The following is a 23,952-nucleotide window of genomic DNA, read 5'->3' as shown; positions in this document are numbered from 1 at the left end:
AGCATCGTTGTTGTGTTCCAGTTCTCAAGGGAAATGCTTCTAGCTTTTGCTTATTCAGTCTGATGTCGGCTGTGGGTTTGTCACAGATGGCTCTTGTTATTTTGAGGTATGTTCCTCCTATGCCTAGTTTTTGAGGGTTTTTAACAAAAAGGGATGTTGAATTTTATCAAAAGCCTTTCTGCATCTATTGAGATGATCATTTGGTTTTAGTTTTCAGTTTTGCTTATGCGATGAATCACATTTATTGATTTGCATATGTTGAACCAACCTTGGATCCCAGGAATAAAGCCTACTTGATTGTGGTGGATTAGCTTTTTGATGTGTTGCTGGATTCGGTTTGCTATTATTTTGTTGAGAATTTTTGCATCTATATTCATCAAGGATATTGGCCTGAAGTTTTCTTTATTGTTATGTATCTGCCTGGTTTTGGTATCAGGATGATGCTGGCTTCATAGAGTGAGTTAGGGAGAAGTCTCTTCTTGATTTTTTGAAACAATATAAGTAGGATTGGTACCAGCTCTTTTTTGTATGTCTGGTAGAATTTTGTTGTGTATCCATCTGGTACAGGGCTTTTTCTGGTTGGCAGTTTTTTCTTTACTACGGATTCAATTTGGAAACTTGTTATTAGTCAGTTCAAGATTTAAATTTCTTCCTTATTTAATCTTGGGAGATTGTATTTTTCTAAGAATTTATCCAGTTCTTCTAGCTTTTCTAGTGTGTGTACATGGAGGTGTTTCTAACAGTGTCGAGGTTTTTTTTTTTTTTTTTTTTTTGGTATTTCTGTCGGGTTGATGGTAATGTCATCTTTGTCATTTCTGATTGCATCTATTTGGATCTTCTCTGTCTCTTTTTTTTAATTAACCTAGCTACTGGTCTATCAATCTTCTTTATTGTTTCAAAGAACACAAAGAACAAACTTTTTGTTTTTATTCATTCTTTTTATGGATATTGCATCTCAATTTAATTCAGTTCAGCTCAGATTTTTGTTATTTCTTTTCTTCTGCTACCTTTGGGGTTGGTTTGCTCTTATCTTTCTAGTTCCTCTAGGTGTGATGTTAGGTTCTTAATTTGAGATCTTTCTTCTTGATATAGATGTTTAGTGCAATAAACTTTCCTCTTAACACTGCTTTAGCTGTGTCCCAGAGATTCTGGTATGTTGTATCTTTGTTTTCATTAGTTTCAAAGAATTTGAATTTTGCCTTAATTTTATTTTTTACCCAAAAGTCATTCAGGAGCAGAAGCAAGAAAATTGTTTAATTTTCTTGTAATTGTATGGTTTTGAGAGGTCTTCTTCATACTGATTTCAATGTTTATTGCACTGTGGTCTGACAGTGTGATTTATGATTTCAATTGTTTTGAATTTGTTGAGAATTGCTTTACAGTTGAGCATGTGCTCAATCTTAGAGTATGTTCTGTGTGTGGATGAAAATAATGTATATTTTGTTGTTCTTGGGTGGAATATCCTGCAGATGTCTGTTAGATCCCTTTGGCCAAGTATTGAGTTTTTGTCCCAAATATCTTTGTTAGTTTTCTGCCTTGATTATCTCTCTAGCACTGTCAGTGGGGTGTTGATGTCTCCCACTATTATTGTATGGTTATGTGTGTTTCTTCATAGGTCTCTAAGAACTTGTTTTGTGAATTTGTTTGCTCCAATGTTAGGTGCATATATATTTATGATAGTTCACTCTTTTTGTATAATTGAACGCTTTATCATTATGTTATGCCCTTCTTTGTTCTTTTTGATCACTATTGGTTTAAAGCATTTTTTTTTAATCTAAAGTAAGAACATCAACCCCTGCTCTTTTTTGTTTTCTGTTTGCTTGATAGATCTTTCTCCATCCCTTTACTTTGAGCCTATGGGTGTGGCTGCATGTGAGATGGATCTCTTGAAGACAGCATACAGTTGTGTCTTGCTTCTTTATCCAACCTGTTGCTCTTTGCTTTTTGAGGGGCATTTAGCTCATTTACATTTAAGATCAATATTGATATGTGAGGATTTGATTGCCATTGTGTTGTTAGCAGGTTATTATGTACACTTGATTGTATAGTTGCTTTATAGTGTCAGTGGGCTATGTACTTACATGTGGTTTTGTGGTGGCAGGTATCAATCTTTCATTTTCACATTTAGTACTCCATTAAGTACCTCTTGTAAGGCAGGTCTGGTCATCACAAATTCCTTTAGCACTTGCTTGTCTGAAAAGGATTTTATTTCTCCTTAATTTATGAAGCTTAGTTTGGCCAGATATGAAATTCTTGGTTAGAATTTCTGTTCTTTAAGGATGCTTACTATAGGGCCCCAATCTCTTCTGTCTTATAAGGTTTCTGCTAAAAGATCTGCTCTTAGCCTGATGGGTTTCCCTTTATAAGTGACCTGTCCCTTTGCTCTAGCTGCCTTTAAGAGTTTTTCTTTTGCATTGACCTTGGATAATCTGATGACTATGTGTCTTAGTAATGGTCATGTTGTATAATAGCTCACAGGGGTTCTCTGAATTTTCTGGATTTATTGTCAGCCTCTCTAGTAAGGTTGAGGAAATTTTCATGGACAATATACTCAAATATATTTTCCAAGTTTCTTTCTATCTGTCTTTTTCAAGAATGCTAATGAATCATAGGCTTGTTCTCTTCATATAATCCCACATTTCTTGGAGGTTTTGTTCATATTTTAATTCTTTTTTTTGGATTTGTTTGCCTGTATTGATTCAAAGGAGTGGTCTTTGAGCTCTGAAAGTCTTTCCTCAGCTTGGTCTATTTTCTTATTAATGCTTCCAATTGTGTTATAAAATTCATGTAGTAAATTTTTCATTTACAGAATTTCAATTTGGTTCTTTCTTAAAATTGTTATGTTATCTTTCAACTCATGGATCATTTTACTGCTTTCCTAGAATTAGGTTTTAACCTTCTTCTGCATCTCATTGAGTTTCCTTGCTATCCCGATTCTGAATTCTTTGTCTGTCATTTCAGCCATTTCAGTCTGGTTAAGAATCATTGCTGGGGAGCTAGTGTGATCATTTGGAGGTAAGAAGACACTTTTACTTTTACAGTTGTCAGAATTCTTTTGCTGGGTTTTTTCTCATCTGTGTTAGCTGATGTTTCTTTAAATTTTGAAGTTGTTGTCCGTTGGATGGTGCTTTTTGCCTTTACGCTTTTTGAAACCTTTGAGGGTCTGACTGTGGTAAAAGTTGTGTTTGGTTGATGGAGCTCATTTCTGGGTGCTTTCATGGACCAGGGCTCAGCTCGGCATCCCTGGACTGGTAAAAGTTGTGTTTGGTTGATGGAGCTCATTTCTGGGTGCTTTCATGGACCAGGGCTCAGCTCGGCATCCCTGGACTGGTAAAAGTTGTGTTTGGTTGATGGAGCTCATTTCTGGGTGCTTTCATGGACCAGGGCTCAGCTCGGCATCCCTGGACTGGTAAAAGTTGTGTTTGGTTGATGGAGCTCATTTCTGGGTGCTTTCATGGACCAGGGCTCAGCTCGGCATCCCTGGACTGGTAAAAGTTGTGTTTGGTTGATGGAGCTCATTTCTGGGTGCTTTCATGGACCAGGGCTCAGCTCGGCATCCCTGGACTGGTAAAAGTTGTGTTTGGTTGATGGAGCTCATTTCTGGGTGCTTTCATGGACCAGGGCTCAGCTCAGCATCCCTGGACTGGTAAAAGTTGTGTTTGGTTGATGGAGCTCATTTCTGGGTGCTTTCATGGACCAGGGCTCAGCTCAGCATCCCTGGACTGCATAGTCTAAACTTGGAGGGTTGGGACCAGGTTCACAGGTTTGTTCTCTGGCCCCTTTAGGTCAAGTTCCTGCTATGCTGGGGTGACTGAGGTGTCCTCAGTCCACTACTAACAACATTTTGGTGGGGGCTGCCAGTCAAAGCGCTCCAGTGTGGTGATGGGGAGCCGCAGGAGAGTGCGCTGTAGTGTGGAGGCCATGGGTGAGCATGCACTGGCAGGGCAGTGGGCAGTCATGGGCAAGTGCATGGTGGTGGAATGGCTATGGGAGTGTGTGTCCTGATGAGAGTAGAATTTCAAGGAAACTGCAGAAGTTTTAATGTAATACCATTTCCTGGCTTCTTGGTCATGCCAGCATCCTTTCTACAGATCTCCCAGTACTTGCAGGTTACAGGGTGACAGAGGTGGTGATGGAGCCACATTGGGACTTCTGGAGCTAAAGAGACAGAGCAGTAGAGACGGGACCCTGATTTTGGTGGATTGAGAAAAAGGCTTAATTTTAAAAATTATCCCAGTTACATCAAATCATTCGGTACAGAGAATGGTCTATTTTTTCCTTAAAACTTAGTGCTCTATCTACTTCCTTGTTAATTTTAAGTTTTCCAACACATTAGCATTGTCATCCAAATTTGACAACATTTATAAGTGTGCCAAAGATAAAATATTAGGCAAGTGAAAGATAATATGATGTTCTACTAAAAAATATAATAGGAAAGATCCTGACCTGAACATCCGTAAATATTTTTTTCCTCTTTTGCTTGATGAGTATATAAAAGGCCAGTGAAAATCTCATGAGTGGAGATTTTACCAAGATACTTCTTTAATGGTCCATTTAAGTAATTATAAATTACTGTGTACTTAGAATCATAACCAACTTATCAAGGCATAAGGGAGCTAAAGGTAAGGTATATGCAAATTGAAAAGTCATTTTGATCTTGGTTTGTGAGACTGGATAGTGTTGATGAGAAGAAAGTTTGAGTATTGTTATATACCAGTTCCTTTGAGTAGGTTCTAGAATGGCAGCTGTCTTGTTATTCTCCCATTACCAAAATTCATGGATATACAGTAACTGGATTAAAGTGTATATAATAGATGAACATTAGTCATAATTAAATAAAAAATTTTTAAAAAAGAAATCCAGAAGCCCAGTGCCGAGAACCTATTAATTCAGACTAAATATCTTCACAGGACTTGCTACATTTTAATTGTGCTGAAACCTATACAATGATTACTTGTTGTAAAGTAAGGTAGAAGAACAATACTCTGCATAGAATTCAGGCTTCTGTATAATTGCCTTTATAGAAAGACCATGTCATATAAGCTTACATGTAATTGGCAATGTGCAGGGGGAATAAAGTTAGTTGGCTTGCATATTTTTCCAGTGTTGAGAACTTACCAAGTGAAAGGCACCATACAAATAAAATAGTCAATGCAGATGGGTACTAACATAGCAGAGAAAAATAGGTATACAGGTAATTACCACATAGGTAAACAATGATATTTCTTAAGAGAGGCAAGTGGTAGATTGCGTTGTTGGCTCCTAAAATTCATCTGTTCCTGAATCCACAGGCTTTCTTCATCTTAGGACCATGTGGCTTTGGGCTCTTGACTTTGTACCTGATGACCTGTTTTGGCCAGAGGCAGAAACGACAGTATGGCAGTTCTGAGAATAGGCTTTAGAAGGTCTCTTACGTTTCTGCTTCCTCTTTTGTGCCTCACTCATCATTATAAGAAGTACATACTATTAATAGATTAGTCCTCAGGGTGTCGGGGTAGAGTAGCAAAGCCGTATCAGTGGACCTATAGACCTGCAGTAGGAAGATGAGTGCTATTTAGACCAGTGGACGCCCTGGCAACCTGGAGGTACATAAACAGTAATAAATTATTGTATCAAATTATTATTGGAAAGGTTTGTTATGCAGCATTATTTTAACAAAATCTAACCAATAGAAGGCACAAAAAATACACCGGAATTTAAAAAAGAGTTACTTAAATCTAAGGAATTTGTTATAGGTGGCTTTGCTTTTCATGATAGGCAGATAGAACTTAGCCAGTTAAAAAATGGGGAAGATAGGTGTGTTCGCAGAGAAGGGTGTGAGAAGAATATATAGAAATCAAAGATTTATACCTTTGTAAATACAGGAAGCAATCTGGAAATAACATTCTGGCATAGTTCTCTGGCCCACAGATGTTGTGGCAACTTCCTTGTTCAAGTTCATAAAATAGGCACGATGAAGGAGAGAACTGAAAGGGAAATTAGGTAACTTTTCTCTCACCTTTCTCCCTCCATAATGACTAGGATGGTGATATTACCATTCAGTATCATTTCAAAGGTATCTGTATTTTATCCTGGCTCTCTGAAATGGATGGTTCTAAGATTAAATTGTAGATTTGTAATAGTGAGAGAAAGTTTCTCATAAATTATATCTTAATACTATGTTACAGTATTAATGGTAATTATATACTATTAATATGGTAATTTGGTGCTAAGATAGTGACAAAAGTCTATTTATAAAATAGTGTATAGACCAGGAAGTTGAGTATGATTCATCAATCAATTGGTTTGAAGATAAATATCTTTTACTGCCTCATAATACACATTTTTAAGAGCTCACAGGATTCTCCAAACAATTTATGTATAATTATGCCATTAAGGTAAATATGATGAAAATGGTAACACTACATTAGGGAAAACTAACACAAACTGTTTTTAAAAATAATTTTCAAATAAATTACATTGTACCTGGTTTCATTTTCATTAGTCCAATTTCATTGACAAAATGCCTACACAAATTTAACTGGCTTTAAGTTGCAGGGAATCTCATATCATTAATACGCCATTTTTATTTGTGTGACATAACACCTTTTATGGGAATGCTTCTTCAGACAAGGCCTTGGGCCCTACTACGTAGAGACAATGCACTGAAAGTAAATTAGTAAACTTAGAAAATGTTCTCTAAACTTTTAGGTTGCTAACAGAGTTGTGAGAGAACAGTCTTATTTATTTGTGACAAGGTATAAATAGAATTGGTAGATAATCTCAATGTCATTTTGGCCAGTTTTGTCGATTTTCTATTCATTTTTCTATGCTTACTGTAAATAGGCAGTGAATAGTTGATACAACTGTGTGAATATTTCAGACTCTTGTGAACCCAGACATCAAGCCTGGAAAAAAATTTGTTTTAACTTATGTTCTCCAGAGTCACTCTTCAAATTGCTCTCAACCTTGATCCACTTGGCCAATGGCACGTGGGTAGAAACTGTCTAGTGGGCAAAGTTTAAGCTTCTGCTATAGGAGGTCCTCCATATTACTAAACCCAGTTAGCAATTGTTTCATACTGTTTGTGCGCATAGCCTTTAGATGGTCTTATAATTGCTAAGAAACAAGTAGTCTCCCCTTAGGCACTCTTCTTTCAGCCTCAAATTTTAATTATGGCATCTAGTGACACAAGCCCATAAGTATTACACCAAACATGGGAGATGTGAGAGGCTGGGGACTTGCTTGGGTTTTAGAGAAACTCAGAGAATAGATGAGGGAAGAAGACTAACCAATGGCCCTCTTGGATTTCTTGCATATTTCTTGTCATTGACATAGAGAAACATTTAGATGACAATTCAAATTATGATTAGCATTTAAGCCTGATTCAAAATCTCCATCTCTGTATTTGCAATCTGGGTTTTTTGCTGAAGTAGTAGACATTATTATTTTCAAAGGAGACCAGATGGAGTGGTAACACTGCTACAGAAACAACAGAGAACAGGGATTCTTTTAAGATTATTATTACTTTTAAAAAATTCAGGAAGAAAGTAGATACCAATGTGGACGCTACTGAATAGAGTGAACCCTTGCAGCTCTCAGACTGATTTCTTTGAGGTTTCTGGGAAAGAAAGAGTGATCTGTGAGCATTCAGAATCACAGTAATTTAGACATTTAAAAACAATATTTTGTACCTCAAGATGGTAAAGGGTATTAAACCTATAGCAACTGTTAATGGGTATTTCAGTGGCACATAATGTTACATGGGAAAGGAAATAGAAGAATGCACATTTTCACCTCACTGAGAAAATATATAACAACAGTGTGCCTTTTACATTGTAGCTATCATGCTTGCTTTAGGAACTTCCCATACCAACACCCCAATACAGACACCACTAAGCTAACACGCAAGCACACTCACATCTTCAATCAGAGGGACTCCTGGTTGTTATAGTGTTCAGAGCTATACAAAGAAAACTGATGGGCCGGGCGCGGCAGCTCATGCCTGTAATCCCAGGACTTTGGGAGGCCGGAGCAGTTAGATCACGAGGTCAGGAGACCGAGACCATCCTGGCTAACACGGCGAAACCCGTCTCTACTAAAAATACAAAAAATTAGCCGGACGTGCGTGGTGGCATGTGCCTACAGTCCCGTCTCAAAAGAAAGAAAGAAAGAAAGAAAGAAAGAAATCTAATATATCCTCTTGAAAAATAATGTGTTTTCAGAAGTAAAGAGCAAAAAGCAAAATAAAAACTAAATCAAACCAAACCAAACCAAAAAAAAGGATGGAAGCTGAAGAGGAAACCCTGCTTAGGAGGCCTGTCCCAGGCAGATCTGCTAATACAGAGCACTTTCCCCATTTACTCTCCTAATTCTTCCCAGTCATCTACTTTGCTAAAAATATTTCATTTTCTTTTGATAATCTGAATGAAATTCCATCAAAGCGAGATTAATCTCATTAAAAAAAAAAAACACTTCTGGCCAGTTTTTCAGGTATTTACTCACATATTCATGCCAGCCATCATAAATGCTTATTTAGATTCTTGATGCTTCCAACTTCGGAGAAGATGAGAAGTGATTCATTCAAAAAGCTTTTCTTCTTCCTACTGTTTTAAGAAAATAACTAGTTTTGCCATGGGTTGCTTCTTTAATGACTTCCTGAATAATATAAAGATAGAGATTGTATTAGATATCTATCGCTGCATAACAAATCATCCCAAAATGTGGTGACTTGAACCCACAACATTTACTATCTCATGGCTTGTGTAGGTCAAGTGTATGGATGTGGTTCAGCAGGATCTTTTGACTTAGGATCTGTCAGAGGGCTGCAGTCATGGAGTTGGCTGGAGCTATGGTCTCATCTCAAGGCTCCAGTAGGGAAGGGTCTGTATCCAAGCTCCTTTACATAATTTTATGGCAGGATTCAGTCCTATACCTTCTGCCCTCTCCATGAAGCAACTCATATCATATCAACTTGATTTATCAGAGCAAGCAAATGAGAAGAGCCAAAGAGAGGACCCTCAAGATTGGCTGATTAAGTTTTAAAGGTTTATTTTATTTTATTGTTGCTTATTATTGAATGATTCTGAAAGTTTATGTGTCACGATAACATTTTATAGTATTTTACAGTGCTTTTTTTCTTTGTATACATTTAAGGGGGAATATATTTTCTATGTAGATAATCATGATATCTACAAACAGAGACATTTTTATTTCTCCCTTTCTAATCTGTATGCCTCAACTGCAATAGCTAAAACCTCCAGTACTATGTGGAATAAGAGCAGAGAAAGTGAACATCATTGCCTTGCTCCCAATCTTAGGGGAAAGCATTAAGTCATTTACCATTAAGTACAATTTTAGCTATAGATGTTTTATTGTTGTTCATTATTAAATTGAAGTAGTTCCCCTCTATTCTTAATAGGTTGAGTGTCTTTAATATAAATGAGTGTTGAATTTGGTTAAATGCTTTTTCTGCACCAACTAATAGAATTACATGGTTTTTAATCTTAATTTGTTATATGGTGTACTTATATTGACTGATCTTTCTTTTTCTTTCTTTTATTATAAAAATTTTTATATAATATAGTTTTTATATAAACATTTTTATAATATAAAATATAATATAAAAAAATTTAGTATAAAAAAATTTTCTTAGGAAGGGAAGCTGTCAACTTAAATACTGCAAATGAAGAGTGAATAAGGAAACTTCCTGTTGTCACAAATATAGATGACCTTCATAATATGCTATATAGTAGGCATTTTTAATATGTGACCCTTAATTTAGAAATATTAAATACTTTTTCATTCAACCTAATTCACCTGTTTACCTGTTAAAAAAGAAATACATTAAAAACATGAAAATGTTGTTTATTGAAAGAAAACTCCCGAAAAAGAATAGGGAGGGAATGTAGAAATTAAAAAGTTATGTAAGAACACTCAATTGTAATTAAGTATGTTTTCATATCTTCATAGTAATACAATAAACTGCTACTTGCAGAATGGATTCAGATTGTTTAAATACTACATACATTTTAGACTTATACATAAGTATTTGGAAATTACTTCTATTTATATGAAATGAAGATTTGAATGCCTCTCTGCACACCAGGCAAACCAAAACAAACACAAATCAAGCAGCGAAGTTTTCCCAGAACTACAGTGTGAAAAGACTATAAACAATTGATTCCATACGGAATGGGTTTTATTGTTGTCGTTACAGGAAATCCAAGTTGCATAAGAAATGGAGAGTGTAAAAGGGTTGTGTTAGGAGGAAAAGGATGACACCTGTATGCATTTAGTTTTCTGCCCTTACGCCACATCATGTTCCTCCCTGCACTGTCTGATGTCCATAAGATTAGGTTGTCTCTAAGCAACTTCATGATAAGGATGCTGTCTTTATATAAATCTTTATTCAGTGTAGGGCTGGGTGCAGTGACTCACGCCTGTAATCCCAGCACTTTGGGAGGTCGAAGTGGGTGGATCACCTGAGGTCGGGAGTTTGAGACAAGCCTGACCAACATGGAGAAACCCCGCCTCTACTAAAAAAAAAAAAATAGCCAGGTATTGTGGTGCATGCCTGTAATCCCAGCTACTTGGGAGGCCAAGGCAGGAGAATCGTCTGAACCCGGGAGATGGAGGTTGTGGTGAGCCGAAATTGCGCCATTGCACTCCAGCCTGGGAAACAATAGCGAAATTCTGTCTCAAAAAACAAAATAAAACAAAAAAAAAAACCAACAAAAAAGTCTTTATTCAGTGTGTGAAATTCTGTGATGGGCTTATCAAAAGTTATATTAACCAAGGTGCAGGAAAGCTCTGGGTTATTAAGGATCTCACAGTAAAATATAGAAATGTTAAAAGCCAGCCCCAGGCAGATTAAGTGTAACAGTTTCATCCCTTTCTTACTTATATCAAAAGCCTCTTGGTAAAATCTTTGGATATTATCTGTCATTTGTTTTGAATGTCGACACATGCAACTTCAACAAGATACTAGAAGTAATCTCCATTTTGATATAGATGACCTTAACTGTCTGGAGTTGCACTGACTATTAAATACTTATCTACCAAGTTGAATTACAATATTTAATGTTTATAAAGTATGTATTACTTCCCTCCTGGAGTTTCAATCAGGTACAATAGTTCCTTGCCATATGCCAATAGCCCTCTACATATTGATTGATTTTTGAATGGTGAGCCAGTATTCCATACCTGAAGCAGATCTCATTTGATCATGGCATAGAATTCCTTTTATACATCATCAGATTCAGGTTGCTAATATTTTGGTGTGGATGTTCACATATAAATTTATAAGAGGTATTGGTCTGTAGTTTTTTGTTCTATTTTGATTGTGCTATCTTTGGTATTGCTATCCGGAAAAACTGGCCTCATAAAATAAGCTGAGCGTGTGCCCTCCTCTTCTATTTTCTGGAGTATTATGTAGACTGATTATTTATCCTTTAAACCCTTGGCAGAATTCTCTAGTCTAAGCATCTAGACCCAGAGATTACTTTTTCAGTAGTATTCTGGTTGCACTTAAATTTCTTTAATTGTCATATGACTATTTAAATTATCTATTTTATCTTGGTTGAGTTTGGGCAGTTTGTGATTTTTCAGCAATTGGTCCATTTCTTCTAAGTTATTAAATGTTGGGGCATAAAGTTGTTGGTATTATTCCTTTATCATTTTAATTGCTGTAGGATCTGTAGTAATATCCTCTTTTTCGTTCCTGATATTGGCAATTCAATTTTTCTCTTTATTTTTGTCAGTCTTGCTATAGGTTTATCAATTCTATTAATTCTTCTGGAACTAGTTTTTTGTTTCATTGATTTTTTTTCTATTTTTTTCTTACTTTAAGTTTCTAAGCAACCTGTTCTTATATTTATTTTCTAACTTCTTACATGGGACTTATTTTGCTTTTCATTTACAATTTTCTTGAAGTAGCAGTTTAGATTATTGATTTGAGATCTTTCCTAATTTCTAACATAGCATTCAGTTCTCAGATTTTTCTCTCAACAGCTTTACTTGCATCCCACATATTTTGAAATGCTGTATTTTCATTTTCATTTAACTCCATCTATCTTTTTAAATTTTTATTTAAACTTCCTCTTTGACTATAAATTATTTAAAAGTATGTTTTAAAATTTCTATTTGATTAGATTAGAGATTTTTCTGTTCTCTTTTTTGTTATTGATTTCTGGTTAGATTTCATTATGATCAGAAAAGACATTCTGTATGATTTTATTTTTTAAAAAGTTGTTGAGGTTTGTTTTATGGCTCCAAATACAGTCTACCTTGGTGAAAGTTTCATAGCCATTTGGAATAATAAAATAAGCATTTTACTGTTGTTTGAAATGGACTGACTTTATATAGAGAGAGAGGAAGAAGGAATATGCATATTTGTGCATGTGTGTTCATATATGTATATTTATTCATATATATGTGTGCATATATAGTAATTGCTGTTGATTGAGTATGTTGTTGAGATTGTATCCTTGTTCAGTTTTATGTCTAGTGATTCTATCTGTTTTTTAGTTCTGGGAAGGAGATGATAAAGTCCACATGTATAATTATGGATTTCTCCATTGTTCCTTTCAGCTCTGTCTGATTTATTTATGTATTTTGAGGCTCTGTTGTTTGGTATATACACATTTATAATTGTTATATCTTCCTGCCAAATTGAACCTTTCATTATTATGTAATGTAATGTTCCTCTTTGTCTGTAATTTTTTTTGCTCTGAAGTATGCTTAACCAGATATTAATATAGCTACTCCTGACTTTCTTATTAATGTTTGCATCAACATGTGCTGAAACTCTTTTTTGGGAAAAAAATGAGAAACAAAGGCATTCTCAGACAAAAGAAAACAAAAGAAAGTATTGCCAGTAGACTTGATTTAAAGGTTAGATAAAAAATAAATAAATAAAAATAATAATTATTTAAAAATAAATGATAAAACAAAGAATTTTGAAGCTTCAAGGAGGAAAAAGGAAAAATGGAAAGAGCATAAATGTAGGTAGATACAATAGACTATATCTTACTTATGAGTTTTAGTAATTATATTGGATAATTAAAGCCAAAATTATAATACCATCTTACACTAGATCATTTTATTTAAAAGTAGGGAGGGTAAAGGGACCTAATTCATGGTTGAGAGTTCTTTTCATTTTATATTTGAAAAATGTACCACTTCCTTCTTCTCTCCATGATTTCAGATGAAAAACCCTTTGACATTAGAATTGGTATTGTCCTGTAGATAATATTTCATTTCTCTTTTGCTGCTTTCAAAATGTTTTCCTTGTGTGTGATTTTTAGAAATTTATTTATGATGTGTTTGGCATTAATTTCTCTGCATTTAACCACTTTGTGTTATTTCTTTCATGAAGGTTTGTGTTTTTTTGCCAAAGTCGAGAAGTTTTCAGCTATTATTGCTTTGAATGCTCTTTCAGACCCATTGTCATTTTTCTCTTTTTGGGGGGCTGTGGTAATATGAATGCTGAACCTTTAGTTATGTTCCCTCAAGTCCTTGAGGATCTGTTCTCTTCCTCTTCTTTTTCCTCCTTCTCTTCTTCCTCTTACATTTCAGCTGCTCTTTTTGCCTATTTTCTCTCCACTTTTCAAATTGGGTGAATTACATTGATTTGTCCTGTGTTCTTTTATTCTATCCTCCGTCATCTCAACAACACTATTAAGCCTACACAGAGTTTTTTTTTTATTTCAAATATTGTATTTTTCCCTTTTATATATTTATTTGGTTCCTTTTTTATATAACTTCTGTGTTTTTGGTGAGATTTTCTACTTTTTAAATTTGTTTCAAAAGAATTTGTAATTGATTGTTCCGAGATAGCTGTTTCAAAATCCTCATCTATTCAACTATAATTTCAACATCTGATTCATTTAACTGCCGATGGTTGTCAGTTGATTGTCCTTTCTCATTCAAATTGTAATTTTCTTGGTTCCTGGTATGATGGGTGATTTTTCAGTTGTATCTTAGACATGGTTTAGTCTACTCTGTGATCTGCAGTTCCTTGATGGTTTAATTTTTACATCCTTTGTGCTATTATTTTGGCTTGTTTGTTAGTTTGGTCTGATGCTTGTTGAGCTCTCACTGGTTCTTGTTGATGCTGCCTCAATAGGAAACTAAAAGATTACTCAGGTGGGGCTACTGGGTGTCTCCGGGTAGAGGAAAGGACACCCAGGTTCCCTCTCTGGATGCTCATTTATTGCTGGCCCCTAAACCTGGCTGCCCTAGTGTCTCTGCTCTGCATAGAGGAAGGGAGTATCAGGCCCATATGTACACAAAAAGACCTTCTGGATCAGGATGCCTTCCATGTGTGAGTTCCTCCTTTCAGTTCTGTCTGCCACATGGGGGTCTCCTAGTGTGGGTAGAAACTCTTAAGTCTGTAAGGGGCATCACTGTCAGGAGCTCGCTATGGCAGGATTCCCCTGCCTACGGGGATCTGGAGAGCTATCCTGGGAACCGTCACTATGTGGTGGGATCCCTATACCTGTGCCCCTTCCCCTTTTGGTGTCTCTGGGAAGGGAAGTCTCAAGACCATGGTGACAAGCAGGCTTCTCAAACCCATCTGCTTGCTGTGGTCTCTCTTGCAAGTAAGTGCCATTGGCAGCTTCACTATCTCTCTGTGGAGGAGTTGTCTCTGCCCCAGTGGGTAGAAGCATGTTTCCTTGGTTGTCCATTGTTTGTGGGCCTCCAGGCTGAGTTCCTTGCCAGCTCTGCCAGTTTTGTGTTTCCTGTGGGGTTCTGGTTCTATGTGCGGAAGGAATGGGCCTAATTCTGCTACTTTTTATTGTTAGGTCGGTGGTCAGGAAATGCTGGCTCTGAGTCTCCTTTCTCTGTGGGTTGGGGACCATAAGACACCCTTTGGCTGTGCTGTTCCTCCAGTCCTGGGTCCCTGACCAGTACACTGTCTTATCACCTTTCAGAGATTTCCCTGGTTGCCTTGCTATGGTCTGAATGTTTGTGTAGCCCAAAAATTCATATGCTGAAACCTAATTCCCAAGGTGATGATATTAGGAGGTAGGGCTTTTTAGGTGGCAGAGCTCTCACAAATGGAATTAGTACTTTTACAGAAGAGGCTCCAGAGAGTTTTCGCACCCCTTCTCCCATGTAAGTTCACGGGGAGAAGACAGCTGTCTATGCACATAGATGTGGGACTCACCCTGCACAAAATCTGCCAGTAGATTGATCTTGGACTTCCTAGCCTCCAGAACTGTGATAAAAGAAAGGTTTCTTGTTTATAAGCTATCTTGTCTGTGATATTTTTTGATATAAGAGCCTGAATGGACTGAAATATACCTCTTGTGCTATTTCCTGGGCTTATAGTTGTATTTAGAATTTAATTTATGAAATTTAGAAATTTTAATTTATGGGAGGAACAAAAAAATGGCTCTATATCATCTTGTCCTAACCTAAAGTCCATAATATGTTTTTCAAAAAGACTTTTTTTGTCTGAAAATTCCTCTGAGTATTTAAAATCAGATATCAGTAAACATGACATCCAAGTTGGGTAAGAAAAACCATATAGCATCAGCTTTTCCCACTCACTTCCATCAGATTTTAGAGATGTCAAGACAAAAAGGCACTCTTATAATTAAATCCACAATGAAGAATCTTAAAATTCTTTACAAAAAGCAGTTTGCCTTTGTCACTGTGCGACTCTGTATGCATTTTATTCTCCCAGATGAGTGAGGCAATAAATTCAGACAAAAGAAGAAAGTACATGAAGTTGTGTAACAATTTAATATGACATAAATTATACAACTAATTCCTATATTGCTGGCAGTTCCAATATGCTTTAAATGGCCACATCTAAGCAACCTAATTTTACTTGTGAGAACTACCTGAAAGGGCTGCATAAAGAAGTTTTTGAAAGAAAAATATGTATATATATACATATTTATGTATATTAATGCAATACACACATATATATATTTATTTATAAATGGAGATAAGATGCCTATTGCCAAATGGAAAAGAACCCCATGCATCTGTTGACTTTAACTCATGAATGTTGATGACCTCTCTGCTCATGATGAAACAGAATTTATTCCCTGATTGCAAAGTCATCCACAGCTACACAAACAAAGGGTGATTTGAAGAATGGATTTTCTTTTGCTTTTAGGGTACCTGAGACTTCTGAGGTAGTATCCAAAATTTGTCCTACAAACTTGCAGTAAATGTGCAAGTCAGAACCTGAATATTTCATCCAATACATCAGTCTCTATGCTAGACAGAATAATGAGTCTCCCAAAATATGTACTTAAAGTAAGGACCTTGAGATAAGATTATCCTGGATTATAGGCTGGGATCTACATATTTCCAAGGGGCTTTATAAGAGAGTCTTTATAGGAGGGTCAGAGTCAAAAAGATATGACCACAGAAGCAGAGGTCTGTATTATGTAAGGGAGGCACCACAAGCCAAAAAATGCAAGCAGCTTCTAGAAACTGGAAAGGCAAGGAAATAGATTTTCCCCTGGAGCCTCCAGAAAGAACGCAGCCCTGCTGACATGTTGATTTTGTAACTCCTGAATTCCAGAACTATAAGTGATTAAGTTTTCTGGTATTAAGCAACTACGTTTGTGGTGATTTGTTACAGCAGCAATAAGAAACAAATAAAGCCTCTGAGTTAGTTTTCTTTGAAGCATGTTCACTGGCACAATATCATCAAATCCTCCTTTTCCATCCCTTTGCCCAAAACCTTACTGTTCTTTTGCCTAACTGACAAATGGGAGAAATAAAAACTATTTTCTGGACTTTGTTTTGGAAACTGTACTTCTGCTAAGATTCTTACTCCGAAAATCCTCTGAAGGCACAAAGATTTTTTAGCTGAAAATGATTTGTGTGTGTTTGTGTGCATGTAAGGGCAAAAGTTTCTTTCTGATCACACATACACAACATATGCACACATGTATATATATATATATATAATCTATATATTTATCTATAAATTCTTCTTAGACAATGTATGTTACTACATTAATATGACTTGATGTAGATAAAAAAATTTTTTCTGTTCACTACTGGATTTCCAGCACCCAGAACAGTCAATGTCTATTGAACAATGAAAAATCCAGTTGAGTGCTAATACAAACTATTATTCTGTTTATCCCCAGTTATCAGAACTAGGTGTCTTCCAAGCTCAGAGTCACCAGCTAAAACTAGTTCTTTATATATATATATATATATATATATATATATATATATATATATTTCTAAAACTAGTTCTTTATATATAATTCATATATATATATAATTATTTCATGCTGACACTGTGTGTGGCTTACTACTGAAAAGCTTAACTCAGACTTACAGTCTAATGCATATGGTTTTGGGGGATTTTAAAATTTTGATTCAGTTGTATACTTATTGGTGACAACTCTAGCTTAGTTGTGGTAATCAAAAGAGACGACAAATTCATGTTAAAGAAGAAGTGATGAGTAATATTCTCTAAAATTACTTCAAAATGGTTCAGAAGGGAGCCATGTAGGGTACAGTATACCCCAATTTTTTTTGAGAGAGAGGAATTAAAAATTCAGGATGGAACACAGTACTCATATAATCAAATGCCATTACATCTAAACCTTTGGGGTATCTGGAATGTTTGCTGTGATGCAATTTTGTCATGAAAACATAGCCGGAAATCACATTCCCAGATCAAGGAAGTTAAGCTAATGTCACCCTCTCTGGTGAATTTACAAGCATAAAAGTTTAATTTTTTTTTTTTTTTTGAGACAGAATCTCCCTGTGTCACCCAGGCTGGCATGCAGTGGTGCGATCTCGGCTTACTGCAACATTTGCCTCCCAGGCTCAAGCAATTCTCCTGCTTCAGCCTACAGGTGTGCACCACCATGCTTGGCTAATTTTTATATTTTTAGTAGAGACAGGGTTTCACCATGTTGGCCAGGCTGGTCTCAAACTCCTGACCTCAAGCAATCGGCCTGCTTTGGCCTCTCAAAGTGCTGGGATTACAGGCATGAGCCACCACCCCTGGCCCTAAAAGATTAAATGGTAATGGCATAAGGAAAGGAATGGTTTCATACATCAGTGTTCATCCTTTATCTTGTTTCTGCTCTCCAAGCCCCTGGATCATTTTAGGCAGGCTCTCTGACCTTTACTTTGGGTGCCTGTAAATTCAAATCATTTTTTTCCCAGATAGGTTTTTGGAATTTCAGAGATGAGGGGGAAGAGAAAGAGAGAGGTGAGAAATGATTTTAACAGCTAAATATAATACGGATTGTTGAATATCATGTGCGGTAGTATTTTCTTCAGTTTCTTTTGTGTTGACATTAGAAGTGCTTAAAATAAGAAAGAAAGAGAAAGAGGGAGAGAGGGAGGAGAAAGAAAGGAGAAAGAAAGATAAAAACAGAAAAAAGAAATAAAAGAAGAAATTTGTTGAGTGTAATAGTAATTGTAAAGAATATGGTAATATAATAAATGTCATTATGTCATAGAAAATAACTTTAATTAGTTTTCACCCTAATTATATCTTTAAAAGAAGCATTACAACTGAGAATATAAACTGATTTACCTACTGTGTTTAAAAATCAATTAATTACCCTTCCTTACACCTTATACAAAAATTAATTCAAGATGGATTAAAGACTTAAATGTTAGACCTATAACCATAAAAACCCTAGAAGAAAACCTAGGCAATACCATTCAGGACATAGGCATGGGCAAGGACTTCATCTCTAAAACACCACAAGCAATGGCAACAAAAGCCAAAATTGACAAATGGGATCTAATTAAACTCAAGAGCTTCTGCACAGCAAAAGAAACTACCATCAGAGTGAACAGGCAACCTACAGAATGGGAGAAAATGTTTGCAATCTACTCATCTGACAAAGGGCTAATATCCAGAATCTATAATGAACTCAAACACATTTAAAAGAAAAAAACAAACAACCCATCAAAAAGTGGGCAAAGGATATGAACAGACACTTCTTGAAACAAGACATTTATGCAGCCAAAAGACACATGAAAAAATGCTCATCATCACTGGCCATCAGAGAAATGCAAATCAAAACCACAATGAGATACCATCTCACACCAGTTAGAACGGCGATCATTAAAAAGTCAGGAAACAACAGGTGCTGGAGAGGATGTGGAGAAATAGAAACACTTTTACACTGTTGGTGGGACAGTAAACTAGTTCAACCATCGTGGAAGTCAGTGTGGCGATTCCTCAGGGATCTAGAACTAGAAATACCATTTGACCCAGCCATCCCATTACTGGGTATATACCCAAAGGATTATAAATCATCCTGCCATAAAGGCACATGCACATGTATGTTTATTGCGGCACTATTCACAATAGCAAAGACTTGGAACCAACCCAAATGTCCAACAATGATAGACTGGATTAAGAAAATGTGGCACATATACACCATGGAATACTCTGCAACTATAAAAAAGGATGAGTTCATGTCCTTTGTAGGGACATGGATGAAGCTGGAAACCATCATTCTCAGCAAACTATCACAAGGGCAAAAAAACCAAACGCCGCATGTTCTCACTCATAGGTGGGAATTGAACAATGGGAACACATGGACACAGGAAGGGGAACATCATACACTGGGGCCTGTTGTGGGGTGGGGGAGGGGGGAGGGATAGCATTGGGAGATATACCTAATGTTAAATGACGAGTTAATGGGTGCAGCACACCAACATGGCACATGTATACATATGTAACTAAGCTGCACGTTGTGCACATGTACCCTAAAACTTAAAGTATAATAAAAAAATCAATTAATTAAAATGTCTTAATGCTATATATATATGTGAAGCATATGAAGCATTCTGAAATACCTTCCCAATTAAGATGACAGATTTTAAATAAATATTTCATAGAACGTTATTTAGCATTAAACCTAATATTGCAGGATGTTTTGCTTACAGTATCACCGGATTGATTTTACTTTCCCACAAACATCTTTATCATGTTTTTTTCTGTCCTCCCTTCTGTGGCTTTCTGGGATCTGGGATGTTCACATCAAACATAGCAAACGATTAAACATGCCAGTAGAGGCTTCACAATGTTTTCTTACTTCATTTTTTCCTCCCTTCCCTCCCCTTCTCTTCATCTCCCTGCTTTCCTCTCTCTCTCCAATTAGACAGTGAGTCCTTGCCAGATGTGGGCATTATTCTTAGTATTGGTACCACCGTAGGGAAAAGGACAATCAGGACCTCTACTTTTGTTGACACGCTGTAATGATAAGGGATGTTGAATAGAAGAGCAATACTGGGCTTACATCAAAGAAGCCCAAATAAAAGAGGTAAGGCACAGATTCTGGAGCTGTTTCAATCTCAGCTCCATAACTGATAAATGCATGACTTGAGAGAGTGTGTAATCTTCCTGAGACCATTTTTAAAAAATCTACAGACAAGGAATAATAATGAGAAGGAGGAGGAGGAAAAGAAGAAGAATGATAATAACTGCTTTATAAGTTCCCCAAGAATACTAGTTGAGATAATATTTATAACTATGCAATTGAATATTAAAAAGTCTCAATAAATGTTAGCTGCTATCATTACCATTATTATTATGTGTTGTTGTTAGAGGTTGGGCTAAATAATGTACATGTGCTTAAGGAGTTCAGTTGGATTTGAGAGCTACCAACATCTTCCTCTTAGTTACAAAAATAGTGGTTTTTAATGACCAAAAAAATATTCATCTGGAATCCAATAGACTTGGAATAGGTAACCGGTAGAGTTCAAAATGGCCAATAGTATGATTTTCTTCCCAAGGTGCTTCCAAATTAGGGGGACAAAGGTGAGTTTATCAACCAATACATAACATAATGCACTTGTGCTGCTCCAGAGTGAAGGAGCCCCTTACAGCACATGCCTCCCAGCTCCTCATTGGCTGCCTCTTTCATCTGCTTCTTTACAACCTGAAAGAGGTCAATAAAGCATTGCAGAGAACAAAGAGCATATGCAGTATAAAAATGACAATGGAGAAACTGGAAATCTTGAATCATCTGGCGAATAAAGGGCTGATCATTCATTCCTGGACATACATTTATTTTCAGTTCCAATTATTATTGCTGAATCCATGCAAGAGGTAACATATGAAGCAAGGCTGGCAACTTTGTTCATCGATGACCCAGGGAATGAGAATAGGGAAAATAAAAGATAGCTTGTGAAATGAGTCACTGCTGGGTTTTATGTTGGCATTTCTCAACATACTATTTTTGTCTAGATCCTTTTATGCTCATTACTGAAATTATAGGGAAAGATAAATGAAGGAAGCCTACACAAAGAGCTTCAGGATCACTACGGCTGTTATTTGAAGAATAATGATTTGCATTTCATTGCAGAGATAGAGTGATTCCATTAACACAAAATAGTTGGCAAAAAAGGATGTAGGTCATAGAGGAGGTGACTTAGTTTGATGAGTAGTGCCATTAATAGCAACAGCACTGGACCAGGAATTGGGGATCCTGGCAGACATTCTAATACATCTCTAGCTGGAAGGACAGCCGTGGACCACTGAGGAAAGAAATCCTTGAATCCCCCCGCCCCGTGCCTTAGTGCGTCATGTGCGGGGAGCCTTTAGAACCTTCCTCATATTTCTCGAAAGGATTGTGCCAATCAAAGGAGAACCGGCCCCTGTGCTTCTCCTCATCAGCTTAAACAACAAACTGCTGTGAGGATATCAACAATACATTTAACTAAATCTTATCGGTGTTTTCGTTTGAATGTATGCTTTTATCAAAGGATAGTTTTGTTTTTAAATCTATAAGTCTCAACTTATACTTGATTTGTAAATACCATATTTTTTTAAATCAGTAGATCATACTTCCCCCACTCCTTTTTCTCGCCGTCTTTTTCCTCTGGATGTATTTTGCTGGAAACATACACTGAATTCTAAACCCTTTCTACTCCTAGTGTCCAAAGTATGGCTGGGCATGGGCGGCTTTGGTATCTATCAGGGGTTTATTAGAAATGCAGACCCTCAAGCTCCACCCTTCGTCTGCTGAACCAGACTTTGCATTTTAACAAGAATCCCAGGGGATTCCTTTTGCACCTTAGGTGTGAGGAGCACTGATCTAATGCAATTTAATTGTCAGGTTTGAATCATCATTTGTTACATAACCCAGTGGCAGAGAGAAGAATAAATACTGAAAACAGGCCGGGCATGGTGGCTCACGCCTGTAATCCCAGCACTTTGGGAGGCCGAGGCGGGCGGATCACGAGGTCAGGAGATCGAGACCATCCTGGCTAACACGGTGAAACCCCGTCTCTACTAAAAATACAAAAATTAGCCGGGCGTGGTGGCGGGCGCCTGTAGTCCCAGCTACTCGGGAGGCTGAGGCAGGAGAATGGCGGGAACCCGGGAGGCGGAGCTTGCAGTGAGCCGAGATCGCGCCACCGCCCTCCAGCCTGGGCAACAGAGCGAGACTCCATCTCAAAAAAAAAAAAAAAAAAAAAAAAAGAAAAGAAAAGAAAAAAAGAATAAAGACCAAAAACAAAGCACACAAATGCTCAAAGCTGGGATGGGGGTTGGGGAAGTCTCTGGTGGTCTAGTCTAGATTCCTCGTCTTAAATCGGGAGGAATAATAATAATATGGCCAAGGTTATTTTCTTACTGAGCCAGGAGCAGAACTTAATCTGCTGAGTTGAGTCATGGGTATTTTTCAACAACACCATTGTGGCAAAAATTTACTTTGCTACTGAACTTTTCCATTTTCTCTCTCTGGCCACAGAAAAGTTAATCACAGGCTCTCTGGGTCACCTTTGGTGACTTGGTCTGTGACTCTCATGCTCCTGCGTGCATGCCCTTATTTATAGTAGAAAACAACTATAAACTGCTCAGTGGAGACCAAGGCCATCTAGGCTGCGCTGGTGGTGGCTTGGCTAATTCACTACCCTTTGCCTCTGGCTCCTCAATTATGGAGTAGAATATGTTTCATCTTTCCAGAGACCTTTGACAGTCTTAGCTGAAAAGCCTCTGAGAAGTGAAGAGCATTACTGTGCCCTGCAAGTGAAAACTCCACCATTCTGCAAACTATCTCTGTATCTGGAAATGAAACTGAAATTCACAGCTGTCATTGGTCTAAGTCATATATTACCCAGCAGTTTATTTCCACAGGCACAGCCAAATTTGCTTTGCAGTTTATGAGCTCTACGCACTTGGTTCTCTGTGGAAATAACAGTATATGTGAGAAAGAACAATAGATTTGGGGTTAAGAGTTCTGCCTTTGAGTCCCAGTTCATCCACTTACTGCTTGTGTGCCTATAGGCTGCTATTCCAACTCTCTGGGCTTCTGTTTCCTCCTTTTAAATAGCCTTAATGCTGCTTATGTCAAGATATTCTCCTCCAGTGTTTGCTATTGACACTGTATTTTTCATCTGCCTCAGTGTAGAAGTTATCTTTTCACTTTCCCAGTGTTCATAATTTTTTCCCTTTTCTAAGACCACTAATTTTTCATTTTGCTGTCCATGTGGCCCCAAGGAATGCGACTCTACTCTCAGCTCTTCCAGAAGAGTATGTGACCATGCTGAAGCCAATGAGCACACTCAGTGCCCTCTGGTCTCAAAAACTGGGTTCAGTTGACATGTGAACCAATGCACTAGCCCAATCGGATGGTCCCAGGACTGGCCAGTCAATGCTGCATCCAAGAGTTTCACTTCCTCTTCACTTTGCAAGGAACAAGATACATGAAACTGTTATGACCATTTGCTTCCACAAGAGACACCAACTTGAGGACAAAACTGACACACTGAGGTGGCAGAGCTGAAAGAACCGGCGCCTGGGAGCCACAATTAACTTCTGGATCAAACCACACCTAAAAGCAACTTTATCTCTGTAATTTTCAGTTATCTGAACCAGTTCTCTTCATTGCTTAAACAAGTTTGAGTGTGTCTATTTATACACCAGGAAACCTAATCATGTGGGCTAATATAAACATTGTGGTCACGACCATGTTTTCTAAGCAGCCAACTTTTCACACATTT

General features: G+C 37.1%; 2 long non-coding RNA genes and 1 pseudogene across 20 annotated transcripts in view; 1 reads left to right on the top strand and 2 right to left on the bottom strand.

Moving 5' to 3' along the window:
• Positions 1-23,952, bottom strand: part of LOC105376944 (uncharacterized) — a 246,298-nt gene that overhangs the window by 33,378 nt on the left and 188,968 nt on the right. For 7 of the 19 annotated variants that reach the window (NR_188695.1, NR_188694.1, NR_188696.1 and 4 more), the window contains one exon: positions 8,485-8,637. This is a non-coding gene — a long non-coding RNA (uncharacterized LOC105376944). Of the gene's footprint in view, positions 1-5,202; positions 5,531-5,850; positions 5,967-8,484; positions 8,638-23,952 lie in introns of all 19 variants that reach the window. The other 12 variants (NR_188693.1, NR_188702.1, NR_188703.1 and 9 more) reach the window with 6 other exon arrangements.
• The window catches only part of GRM7-AS3 (GRM7 antisense RNA 3), a 173,092-nt gene that overhangs the window by 102,088 nt on the left and 47,052 nt on the right, over positions 1-23,952 (top strand). The gene's annotated exons all lie outside the window — the stretch shown is intronic.
• Positions 10,274-11,043, bottom strand: YWHAQP10 (YWHAQ pseudogene; annotated as a pseudogene).

The sequence above is a fragment of the Homo sapiens genome, chromosome 3 (assembly GCF_000001405.40).
Source record: "Homo sapiens chromosome 3, GRCh38.p14 Primary Assembly".
NCBI classification, from domain to species: domain Eukaryota; kingdom Metazoa; phylum Chordata; class Mammalia; order Primates; family Hominidae; genus Homo; species Homo sapiens.
The sequence above is the reverse complement of the archived record's forward strand: the minus strand, read 5'-3'. Positions and strand labels throughout refer to the sequence as shown.